The sequence below is a fragment of the Homo sapiens genome, chromosome 7, assembly GCF_000001405.40.
Source record: "Homo sapiens chromosome 7, GRCh38.p14 Primary Assembly".
NCBI classification, from domain to species: Eukaryota; Metazoa; Chordata; class Mammalia; order Primates; family Hominidae; genus Homo; species Homo sapiens.
In genome coordinates, this window is record NC_000007.14 from 126,438,265 (window position 1) to 126,451,860 (window position 13,596).

The following is a 13,596-nucleotide window of genomic DNA, read 5'->3' on the forward strand; positions in this document are numbered from 1 at the left end:
TTCTCCAAAGTAAAGTTTAATTCATCATTTGTTAATTAACTCAAAGCAATTTACCTCAAACTATTGCTTGATTCTTCATAAAAGAAGCAGTTACTATGAAAAGCTACCACAGAAATCTTGAAATATTCACAAAGTCTTACACAAATAATGCTTTTTAATATAGGAATAAAAGACAGTCTTCCTCTTATGCACACAAATGTACAAAAACACATTCCTCAAAGAAATATTTTCTCAGAACATCAGGGCTTTCATAGAAGGAGCTAAAAAACAGCAGAAGTGCCAACTAGAAAGAAGAGTTTTCCCTAGCTTTAAAACTGGAACGAAACAACTCTCAACATTTGCAAAACATTCCTTTATTATTAGAAATAAATTATTTGTATAAAAAATTGCATGCATCAATCATTGCATTTATTTTTAGCACAACCCAGGGCTTCAATCTGGTCAGCCATTACAAGAAACAGACTCATTGTCTTATACAAGTTAAACAATGTGGGACAGGAACGGGAGTTCTCACAATCACAGAAAAATACAAGAATAACATCAGACATTATTTATTTCAACAGCATTTTTTTTCACGAGCTAACATTAGTTTTCCTTTTGTGATTTGTTTTAACTGCTCATGAATAAGCAATACTTTAGCTTGACACTCATTGGTTTTATTGTATAAAACGGGTTTCTTCACTCCCCGTTTATTGATACTTTTGGCTCATGGCTAATTTTTGTTCCTTACAAGACTGACTATTGATTTGATTGATTGTAGTCTACGGAGATCTCCAGGAGTGAATTTTTGCGGTCTCATGTTCATCATTTAAGATCATATACCACATCTCTTCAGATTGTGCCATTTCCCTGTTTCAGATTGAATGATTGCTGTAACTGATATATGTTGTCTTGGTAGAGGAAGCTGTTAAGATAAATGAGGACAAATTAAAATAGTATATAATAATACATCCTTTTGTTAATATGATTTTAAAATTCAAGTCCTGTAATGACTTTTTAATAATATCCAGCTTTTACAGCATGTTACTCATTATTTTTAAACCATTCACAGTCATGCACAGCACAACGACATTTGAGCTCGACAGCAGACTGCATTATATAAAGGTGGTCCCATGAGATTATAATGGAGCTGAAAAATTCCTATCACCCAGTGAACACATAACACAACACAACACATAACACAACACATAATTCACATGTTTGTGGTTTGTTGTGTAAACAAATTTCCTGTACTACCAGTCATGAAAAAGCATAGCACATACAATTATATACAGTACATAGTACTTGATAATGATAACAAATGACTATGTTGCTGGTTTAAATATTTACTACACTATACTTTTTATCATTATTTTAAAGTAGACTTCTTCTACTTATACATTATAAAGTTAACTGTAAAATGGCCTCAGGCAGGTCCTCCAGGGGTATTCCCGAATAAGGCATTGCTATTACAAGAGATGACAGCTCCATGTGTGTTATTGCCCCTTAAGACCTTCCAGTGGAATAAGATATGGAGATGGAAGTGATATTGATAATCCTGACCCTGTGGAGGCCTAGGCTAGTGTGTGTGTGTGTGTGTGTGTGTGTGTGTGTCTTAGTTTTTAATACAAGAAGTTTAAAAAGTAAAATGAATAAATAAAAATAGAAAAAAGTCTATCCTTGAGTAAGGGTATAAAGAAAATATTTTTTATAGCTGGACAATGTGTTTGTGTTTTAAGTTTTTATTACAAACAAGTCAAAATTTAAAAAGAATAAAAAGTTCATAAAGTAAAATTTATAGTAAGCTAAAATAGTATATATTGAAAAAGGAAATGTTTAAAATAAATTTAGTGTAGTCTAAGTGTAGAGTTTTTATAATATCTACAGTGGCTGGGTGCAGAGACTCACGTCTGTAATCCCAGCACTTTGGGAGGCCTAGGCAGGTGGATCACGAGGTCAGGAGTTTGAGACAAGCTTGACCAGCATGGTGAAATCCTGTGTCTACTAAAAATACAAAAATTAGCCGAGCATAGTGGCACATGCCTGTAATCCCAATTACTCAGGAGGCTGAGGCAGGAGAATTGCTTGAACCGAGAGGCAGAGGTTCCAGTGAGCCGAGATCGCGCCACTGCACACCAGCCTAGGCAACAGAGCAAGACTCCATCTCAAAAAAAAAAAAAAAAAAAAAAAATTTACAGTACTGCCATGTCCTAGGACTTCACATTCAATCACCACTCATTCACTTAAAGATCCAGGGCAACTTCTAGTCCTACAAGCTCCATTCATAGTAAGTTCCCTATTTACATGTATACCATTTTTTATCTTGTATACTCTATTTTTACTGTATCTTTACTATGTTTAGATATGTTTAGATATACAAATATCATTGCATTACAACTGTGTACACAATTCAGGACAGTAACATGCTGTACAGGTTTGTAGCTTAGATAGACTAGGCTACACCATATTGCCTGGGTGTGTCGTAGGCTATACCATTTGGTTTGTGTAAGTACACTGTATGATGTTTGCGCAAAGACAAAATTGCCTAACAACACATTTCTTAGAACATGTCATCAAGCAATCCATGACTGTAGTAAAAATTAAATGACAGTAGAAACAAAAATGCTGCAGCAATTTTAATCTGTCAAAATCAGTAGCCTCATTTATAGTATATAAATATTTACTAGAAAACTAAAAATATAAAAGTGCTAATCTTTAATATTTTGGTAAAATTTTACATTTGCACATATGTAAAATGAAAGAACAGATCAATTATCTGTCCTACAAAATATAAAAAATATTTTTTACTACCTAAGTCAAAGACCTCAATTCTTAGAGGCTGATGTAATGACCAAGAAAGGTAAGTAATTATAATTAGCTGTCCTATGAGAATGAATACCTCTTCCACTTAAAAATACACAATAATCTTAGACTCTAGAGGTAAACATGCTAAAATATCAAATATATAGAAAACATGTGAATTGCCAATGCATATTTATGGTTTCTTTTGGTTTCATCAAAAGGAGACAAATGAAGATAAAATTTAAGAAAATAAAGACTCAAATAAAGAAATGTTTAATTGTTCTGTTGCCAACATACTGTAAAGTAAAACTCATTATTGTAAGGCCATTACAGAGATATTATGCCAAATTTATACTCATGCCTAAGCTTCTGGAGAATATAAATCTAAATCCAAATAATTCCTTTGTATTGTTGAAAGATGTGATGCAATGAATCTCTGTCCTAAAATTCAAATGTGATGTCCTATTTTTTCATGTAATTCTGGAATGAATAATCGTAAGATAAAAGATACTTTAAAAAGCAAAGAATGTATGTGTTTCAATATATGAATCCAATTCAGGATGAAACAGATTTTTAGAAAATAATTTATTTATTGAACATTGAATAAGACTAGAAATTGTAAAGTTCCTCCTCGGAAATAACTGACAATCAGACTCATTCCATCTTAGTGACACTATTGATGGATTAGACAAGTTCTTACCAGAGACCAAGTTCATACAAAGTTCACAACCACTAAAATTAACTCAGATAGCCCTAAGAAGTGCTACTATAGATGTTTTTTTCATTGTTGTTATTTTTTATTTCATTGAATATTATGAGCTTCAGGCTAAAAATAGTTGACATATCTGCTTATCTTATCTACATTGCTTATCCTTCTAGGTTATTATTGTGGCACCCTGCAAAGGAAGTAGACTTTAGACCTGGTTTTAAATTACATTCTATTCCCTGCAAAATGCGTGAAAAAAAAAAAATCATTGGGCCAGGTTACTGGGCCTCAGTTTTATCACTGGTTCAAAACCTACAATACTGTGTTCCTGTAAGGTCAAAAGCAGAATAGATCGGGATGGAACAGCTGTAGTCTGGAAGAACCAATATAGAACCAGCCTCCCTCCCTCCTTTCCTCCCTATCTCCCTTCCTTTCTTCCTTCCTTATTTTCTTTTCTTTCCATGAACCATACATGAGACCTAATGGAGTCTTACTTTCTACTTAACCTTTCCAAAAGGTAAAATATTTGTTACATTTGGTTTGGTGTGAAGTGAAACACAATGATTTTCTATGATCACTCACTTTTACTTTCTATTTTTAATTTATATAATACTCTCGTATGCCTCTAAATTTCCTCTAAGAAAATAAAATCTGTCCTTCAGTTCTGCTTTTGAAGGACTTTCATATAATCTTCACAGACAAGGTGGAGAAAAATTGTCATAAGAGTGATAAAAATGACTGTTAAAAGGGTCATCCAACTTCCTACACTGTTCAATATTTTCAACAATAACTAAAATGTATGAAATAGTTATAAAATTTGTATATAGCTAGAAAAAGAATTATGGTTGAAATAGAGTAGCAAGAGCTGATAGATCTTGAACAATAAAGTTTTCAGAAGATGTCCATTCAACAGATGGCAGTTTGGATTAGATCAGTTTTAAGGATCTTTCTAACTTTGGGGCTCTGTAGCTAATTAAAAATTAACATATTATTTTTTGAACTCTTAAACATGGTTTCTAGAAAGAAAATGGTAGAATTCTATTGAGAATTGAGAAAACAATTCACAAAAGGACAGCAATGCTAATTTTCCTACTGGTTAGAAAAGGAAGTGTAAGGTTCTGGAATCAGATGATTTAGTCAACATGAAAGCAATGATAAGGGACAAACTTTGTGGATGGCAGATACCTCGCAAGAATCTTTATCCCAGAAGTATTATAGAGCAAAATGAATCAGAGATGTACCAATGAGTTCATAGGGAGATGTTTTTCACGGTGCTGATGAATATGCTCATATGAAAATCAGTTTTTGAGCACAGCAACAGTAAATTAATTTCCTTGTGTGCATCACACTGTGTTCATAAGCTAGAAAAAACAAATCTACCTCCAGCAGCAGCTGTTTTCATGAATTATTCATGAACATAGCTTAAAGAATACTATGTACAGCATTTGTTAATTGGGTACAGTTGGCAAAATTCATATATATCAACTTTGTTTCTAACTCCCCTCGCACTCTGTTGTGAAATAACACTTGACCTTTTTTAAAAATGTAAACTATAGTCTGCAAATTCAGCAACTAACACAACACTCATTGGTTTCCCATCCAGCTTCGTATTACTTATATTTACTCTGTGTAGCTTTTGAAACTTTAAAATCTTGAACACAGATCTACCCTTTCATTGTAGGATGGCCATGGAAGTGAACAAAGGTTAAAAATGGTGATCTGGAGTAGGATTGTGGAAGGATGTGTGAAGATGTCACACATCTTTCTCTCCTGAATGAGTACACTGTAATCACTTTACTTCGGCCCAACTTATTCAAACCTAAATTATACTCCTGTAAAAGATCAATGCACTAAAATCTCCAAAGTACAATTAAACTTTTTTTTCAGGCAGTAACTGATATTATCTTGATTTACTTTTTGACTTTACTTCACCTTCTAAACGTGAGCATCTGACTCCTCCAGAATATTATAGGCTTACCCTCCAAATAGGCCTTGTTTTTGCAATCTTTCATTCTTATTTTAGAGAAAATAGAGAAATACATGCAGGCTATATAATTTCCATTTCAACATTAATAGAAAATAACCAAAGGAAAACAGTATCTGTATGAGATTTACTTCAATAATATGAGATTGGTTCTTATCAATACTGAGAATTTTGTTTTTCAGGGCATGTATTTATTCTTTTAAAGTGGTGAAAAAGTTTATTAAATTTTTTCTCCACCACTTTCCAAAGGTGAGTCTGAATGACTGGTATTTATATCACTATAAGTTTGGTTCTTTAATTTGGCAACCATATTTTATAAAGTTTTCTGGATTGCTGCTAAAAAAGAAAAAAAAAAGAGAAAAACAGGTAAAACAATAGACTCTGGTGAGTCATAGTGAGAAGTGCCAGTGTTCAAATTACATCACTGGCCAACAGCAGTTTATTGGCATCCTATAATAGCTTTCAACTTCCTACACTAATGCTGTCAAGGTAGGAAAAAAGGTAAAATTCTGTCCTCAAATCACAAGCATTCTACTTTGATGCCTTTAATGGCAGTTACAGTATACCTTTTGCTAAGAGCCGAAATAGGTTTATCATTAGTAAATTGCTTACCTATACTCAGAGATGATTGTAATGATTTGTTACTAAAGCCCATCCTTACCTTGCTTCGCATATTTCTTACTTCACAAGGTTTCATGTTTGCAGAAAGGTGAATATGTGGAGGGTGTTTGTGAAATTCTTGTAAGGTTCATTTCTCTACACGTGACTAAATTTGGTATTGGTGACCCGAAGATAATCTTTTTAGAACCAATCTGGCTAATGATTCCAGGTAAGCTGATAGTAACTGAAACCAATATGTCTAATTAAGCAATGCTAATTAACTATCACAGGATAGTTCTGTGTATGGTAAATTAGAGTAGACAATGCTTATCTAGAAATCTTGATAGAAAAGAAGGTTTGTAGATGGAATGTAGACCATAAGTTGCTATAATAATTAAACCAAATAAAATTAATTTTTAGTTTTTTCTTATATTTAGTGTCAAAAGTATGGAGAGTAGGGGATACAGACTGCTGGATGAATATGAGAGGAAGAGAATATTTTTGCATAGGATTTTGTCCTTAATGCCTGACCGGGTGTGGTAACTCACACCTGCAATCCTAGCACTTTTGGAGGCTTAGGTGGGAGGATCACTTGAGCCTAGGAGTTAGAGACCAGCCTGGGCAACAGAGTGAGACCCTGTCTCTACAAAACAAACAAACAAACAAACAAACAAACAAAATTAGCTGGGCATGACAGCACATGCCTGCAGTCCTAGCTATTTGGAAGGCTGAGGTGGGAGGATCACTTGAACCCAGGAGGTAGAGGCTGCAGTGAGCCTAGATCATACCACTGCACTCCAGTCTGGGCAACAGAGCAAGCTCCTGTTTCAAACAGAAAAAACAAATATTGAATCCCTATGCTATATTCCAAAAGACTGGAAGCCACTCTAATACAAGTACCTTTGCTTTTCTTTCTTTTTTGATTCATCTGTAGAACCTAGTAAGGTAAAGGTTGTAATGTTTACCATATTCAGCTTCCTGGTATTTTACCATACAAATCTTCAAATTATTTGCCACTCTTTCATAGATACCAAGATGGGCTTCAATAGATCAGTTAAATTCTACTGGTTGAGCACAGATTTCTGTGTATTGTTATCATGTGCTTTTTCCTGGGTGGACTGTAGAGACGAAAATAGGTAAAGAAAAGAAAAATGGAAAGGTGGTTGTAGAAAAGATTCTATTTCCAGGATCATGAGGCTTTTAAAGAAGAACTTTAATTATCTTAATATATCCAAGAAGGGAAGTCAAGGGAAGCCCTCAGGAAGCCCAAGGAAAGGGGACCACGTGGGAGAAACAAGTATTAACTGTGACTTAACTAAACATATTGGCTAACTAGAGTTCTCATTTCCCTAAAGGCACAAATAACATCATTTATATGTGTAAGATCTGTAGTGATATTCTGTAAGTATCAGCAAACTACTGATACTATAAAAAGCACCCAGTATGGAACAAGAAAAATTGTGGAATTGTTTCCAAGTACTAAAAGATAATTTTTATAAGAAGATGACGCTTTCAAATACCAAGCTTTGTAATGCTTCAAAAGAAAGATCTGAATGTCATGCTTTGTAAAAGAGATTTTGTGAGCAAGTTTGTACTCTGTAGAACAGCCGCTCATCTTGAGACCATTTGCTTCGAATGGTTTTAAATGTGATGGTGTCACGGTATGTGAGTACCATCATGCCCCTGGAAACATGTAGCACAATCCCCAAGACTAGGAGAAGAATGTTCAACGTACATCTATTAGGAAGTGCTCCCGCTCTTGACCATCGGAAACTCTACAGATGACTTACTGTTGGTTTCAAGACTCTCACAGAGTTCACTTTTCACCTCGCCATTTGGTCTGTCATTTCCTTTTTGGATCAGTTTGCTTTGCATGGTGGCAGCTGTCACCACAGCCTTGAAGCTCCTCTTGCGTTTTTGAACATTCTGTTCTGGATGAAAAATTATAATATAAACCTTGGGCATATAGAGCATGCCCAGAGATACTGAAGCACTTAAACTCATGGAGACAGTAAGTGTTGTTGTCTGGATGTACATCTGAGGGAAGAAAAAAAAAAGAATCACTGTTGGTAAGCCTAACAGTAGGAGATAAAGCAAATAACATACTATTTTCTAAAATTGTTCCAGCTTCTCTGCTAAAGGCACATTAAAAGGCACTTATTGAAATTGTCCTTAATTATAGTCAACCATTCCTGTGTCCTAACCTGCAAATGTAAATGAGTAAGGTTATTTTTTTATTGAACCCAATTTATTAAAATAAAAATACAAACAACCAAGCTGGTGGAGTTTATTTTCCTTTTTAGATTATAAATAAACATACATAAGGAAGGGGACCAAACCAGTCTGGCAAAACACTAACACTTAATGCCACACAGAACTTCTTTAGAAGGTACTAGTGGGCCAAGTGTTATTGTAGCAATAAGTTTAACCCAGAAGGTAAGTATACATAGTGAAAATAGAGTGGGAGTGCAACATTCCAGAACATCACTATTACACACCTGTGCTTGAATAATGCTAGTGGTTGCATCTTCACATCATTACATAATTCCAACTACCAAAAATCACAAGCATGTCATAAGGGCTTGATTTTTTTTAACAGTCCCTCTAAAGAACACTTCCAGAAGGTTCTCAGTGATAGCATCATATCGAAATAAGTCAGGTGCTTTTATAAAATATGTAAGATCTCCTCCCTCCAAGATATATGCACTGGGATATGGTCCCGGTCACTGCATTCTGAAATTCTCCCCCTGTGCTCATTGCTTGCCCTTATCCCACTGAAATCGACTGCTCTGATACTTACAGAGAGAGCTCTTTCTGGAAGGTTTTTCTTTCTACAAGCTAGAGGTTAAGAATCTGAAAAAAAAACCAAAGCTAAAATCACTGCTTTGGCTTTTTCTTTTTTGGTTATGGTATAGAAACAGAAACAGCAGTATTTCATTCTTTAAAAACAGAAACAAAAACCTTTGATCTGGTTCCACTTTTCATGTCCTGAGCTCAAAATAGAATTTTCCCCAAATAACTTGGGATACTGAGGCCACGGAGAAACCACATCTTAAGACTGTAAAGAGATTCTCCCTTTGTCATATCTACGACCCTCATTAATAGATCTGTTCACTCTATTTACATCTCTGAATATGATCCTGATTAGTTGGATTTTTTAAATATGTTTTAATCTGTTAGTCTTGCTAACATCTATCATACTAGTTAGATCTCATCTGGCAATCCTCAAGACCAAACTAATTGTGTCCTTTTAAATAAAGAATCAAAAACAAAACAAAACAAAACAAAACAAAAAAAACCATTCGCCCTCAAGGGTAAATAACTGAATCAGCATTAGTGTTGCCTTTTCCTAGAGGAGAAGGTTTCTCTTAACAGATGGCAAAACCTTGCGGTAAAGAACTGTCCAAACCATGAGCAGGATGTGAGGCACAAGTTAAGAAACTGTCTTTGGATATAAAATCATACCATGCACACTGCTGAATTTACTGCCCAGTTCATCTGCCACTAAGGCTGTCCTTGCATCCTTGCATAAGAGCTCATTGTTTAAGTGTGGAAAATGCTTTAACGAGATTTACTACAAAGTTTACAAGATTTACTACAATTAAGACCATCCCAATGAAATAGGGATGTGTACGTTTACGGCTTATAAATCTCCTAAGTTTTGCCATCTACTTTTAAGCAACCTATTATTTTAAACATTCCTAAGCTTCCTAAGTATTGGTTAATCTTTTTTGAATTCCTGCTTATTTTCAAGCTAGCATTGCTGCAAAAACCTACATAGAAAATTGACTGCAGAGAGAGGACATAAAGGTAAGAAAAGAATGTGGCAAAGTACAAACCACACCCATACATGTTCCAATGCCAGTCAAATAGAAAACCACCAGTCAGACTCTTTCAAGTCAATTTAGCCTAAAAACAAACAAACAAATCCAACGACGAAACAGCCATAAAATGATGGGAACATCTATACTGATTAGTTGGATTTTTTAAATGTGCCTTAATCTGTTAGTCTTGCTAACATGTATAGTACTAGTCCAAATAGTATAAAAATATTTTTGTAATAAACATCCTATACATTTTCTCTGTTACCAAAAATATAAATAATAGTCTTCTCTTATTTGGAATAATTTCTGCGATATATAGTAAATTTAATCCTGCCAAATATTAGACATGAAGAGGACTTTGGAATGCTAGCTTCCTCGTTAAATAAATTACCGCAGTCTATCCTTTTGGCAAGCCAACTCAATGAAAGATGTAATAAACACAGATATTAGAATTAAATAGTACCATGGTTAGTGTAGCAAGCTCTTCATTGGACGCTATACTTTCAAATTATACCAAAATGCTGATCTTAATTATGTACTTTCTTAAGACAGCTTCTGAAAAATTTTAATGTGAGTTTAATACAGGAAAGGCATCTAACAAAATCCTTAGCAAACTAACAGAAGAATAGAAAACCAAATACTGCTTGTTCTCACTTATAAGTGGGAGCTAAATGATAAGAACACATGGAGACATAGAGGGGAACAACACACACTGGGGCCTTTTGGAGGGTGGAGGGTGGGAGGAAGGAGAGGATCAGGAAAAATAATAACAGGTACTAGGCTTAATACATGGGTGATAAAAATAATCTGTACAACAAACCCCCATGGCACAAGTTTACCTATATAACAAACCTGCACTTGTATCCCTGAACTTAAAATAAAAGTTAAAGAAATCCACAAAATCATACCCTAAGTCCACAACCTTACAGTGGCCTAGCATTTGTTACAGGGCCATGGAAGGAATATGTTCCAGTAGACCTGGGTATGAATTCTGAACCACCACTTAAATACATTTTTTTAAAAGATAAAGTTTACAGAGAAACTCTAGAGTTATTTTCTGGGTGATTAAAGTCCCCAAACCAACCTCCCAGGCTACAATCTAAACCAATCAATCTTCCCTGGTTATTGGACAAATATGGTATCTTATTTTCTTCTCTGAACAGTAAGTTCTTATCTATGTCACAGGGTGGGGTTGGGGGTAATACTTTTCTCATAGAGGAGTTACAGGGTAGCATGATATATTTATAAAATCTCTTACAGATACAAGATAGCTCAAGAAACATTCTTTACCCTACAACTTTGCATCTAAAAATATGCTAACAAAGTATCCTCCCAGGAGTATAGGACAAAAGAAGGACCTATTACACACTTATTCAAACCAGTTTTGTTTAGAGAAGAGCTGATAGCCAGGCTCTGACTATACGATGTTGAGGAAAAGGCCTTTGTAATCTCACTTCAATGTAGACAGAATAAAATTTTGTCCAAATGTGAACTCAAGACCATATTTACTGCCTGGGCCACATGCTTAGAATAATATAACAGCTCTTTATCTCAAAGTTACAGCTCATCAGAATGCAGGAGGGGACTGTATTAACTCCCACTAACCCACAAAAATTCAAGAGATGCTAGCAATGATATTGGATATGTCAATAATAATCTTCTCTTTCCCAGCCTTCTCTTACGTGCTCCCTCCTGGCCCTGTCACTCCAAAATACTAACACCCAGAGGATGGGGACTATCTTTTCTATCACACGCACTGATGGCTTGTTACTTACTCTGCCTCCATGCCCCATGGACATTTTGAACCTGAAGCAGTCAGATGCCCTGAAGCAGATTTAAGCAATCTCTAGATAAGCCAGGGGTGAGCTGTGACAATGGAGCATACTAATATGAAATCTTTTCTGGGACCTATTACAGTTCCCTCTTCAAACTCTGGATAGGTCATTTGTACATATCAAGGTCTACTCAACGTAGGCCATGATGTGGTATCATTAAAGACTCCAGGAAGAGTGAGGAGGGAGGAGATTTTATTTTTCCAGGATAAAGGTCAGTCTTTTGCTTTCAACCAGCTGCCAGTGCACAGACCACCACAGACTCTGACATCCAACCTGGTATTTTTGCAACCCCTTAGTAACTAAGGTAAACTATTATGAAACCTAACACTCAAAGCAACTTTATGCCACGTGATAAGAAACAGACTCAGTATTTATTCCTGACTATTTCTGTTTTGCCCTCGATGGTTTAATCTTACCACTTTGTTTTAGTCACCAGGTTCTGTTTGGCTGCTTTGCATACCGTTTGACCAGCTAGAAAGCTACACTAACACTGACAGCCTGTATTTCTCTGCTTCTGTTTCTACTTCCTCATCTGCGTGTCTGCCAAAGTGAAACTTGCATCAAAAAATGGGTTTTCTTTTGCTTTTTAGCAGCCAATGGACTTCAAAATACCATTTACTACTAGAAGTGATTTTTTTTTTTTAAAGATGAAGAAGTTTATAGAGAAACTGGAGTTGTCCTGTGGGTGGTAACACCCCAAATCAATCTATCATGCAAAAGTCCAAACTCATAAAATTCCCCTAGCAATTGAAAATTGCAAAAACCAGAGGCAACCATTCAGCTTTGCTGGCTGAGCCTGAAACCACTACCAAGCTCATATCAAACGTTTTTATTTTGTTCCTGTCTTGTTTACATTAAATATCTTCCTAGTTTCATTGCTTAGTCTTTTTCTCTCTGTCTCTTACTCGCTTGCTGATCATATTAGAATTACACCCTTAAACCAAGACAAGCTTCATGGGTGTGCACTTGTACACAAGACCCTGTAATAGAAGGGCCCCATGCTTGGTTTAATGCTCTGCCACGAATGTTTTGAAGTCTGTAATAATTGTTAAAGAAAGACTCCTGCATTTTCATTTCTTACTGGGTTCCACAAATTATATAGCTAGTCCTCTTTTAAAAATCACTTATATACTGACAAATTCCGGGCTTTTCTTAGGAAAGGCATTTGTCTTTTGGGTCACTCCCTTCGGTGCCTGACAGCATCTGAAACTTAACAAGCCTCTGATTCCCAATCTTCATCCCTAAACTTGATCTCCCAGTGGTCTACCCTATCTCATTAATACCGTGCTTCTAGTTCTTGGGAGAGCAGGTGGACAGGGAACTTGAAATTGTCTTTTACTCCTTTTTTATACTCCCACCCTATCTATGACCATATCCTATTGATTCTACCTTCAAAATTTGCTCAGAACTTTCAGAATGTCTCCACTGGTGTTACATTGCTCAGAGCCATCATCATCTCTCATTTGGATCAGTACTGTAACTGTCCTAGTGTTCTCTTTCCTGCTGCCCTTGCTCTCTTCTGTTTGAGCATTTGATTGATCCTAACACAGAAGCTAGAATAATCCCATTATTCATAAACTGAATTAGGTCACTCCTACTCTCCAAAGCCTACTCTCCAATGACTTCCCATTGATTGTATCTTGACAATGGTCCACAAGATCCTCTGAGAACTCCTCTGGTTTACTCTTTTTTTACTCATTCCCTTCCACCCATACTGGCTCCCTGGCTGATCTTGGAACATACCAGGCATGCTTCTACTTCCAGACTTTTATATCTGGTGGCTTGCCTCTTCACTGCCTTCAAGTCTTTACTGAAATGCCCCAGCTCAGTGAGACCTTTCCTGAACACACCATTGAAAATTGTAAC

At 35.7% G+C, this 13,596-nt stretch overlaps 1 protein-coding gene across 24 annotated transcripts in view; it reads right to left on the bottom strand.

The window, feature by feature from the left end:
* GRM8 (glutamate metabotropic receptor 8) overlaps positions 334–13,596 on the bottom strand; it is an 814,344-nt gene continuing 801,081 nt past the window's right edge. For 19 of the 24 annotated variants that reach the window (NR_028041.1, NM_001371087.1, NM_000845.3 and 16 more), the window contains 2 exons: positions 7,862–8,108; positions 334–904 (listed from right to left, as the gene is read on the bottom strand). Coding sequence is in view for 21 of the 24 variants with exons in the window: in NM_001371087.1 (NP_001358016.1) it covers positions 855–904; positions 7,862–8,108 (297 nt within the window). In the remaining 3 variants the exon portion in view is untranslated. Of the gene's footprint in view, positions 905–6,971; positions 7,190–7,806; positions 8,109–13,596 lie in introns of all 24 variants that reach the window. The other 5 variants (NR_163850.1, NM_001371085.1, NM_001127323.1 and 2 more) reach the window with 3 other exon arrangements.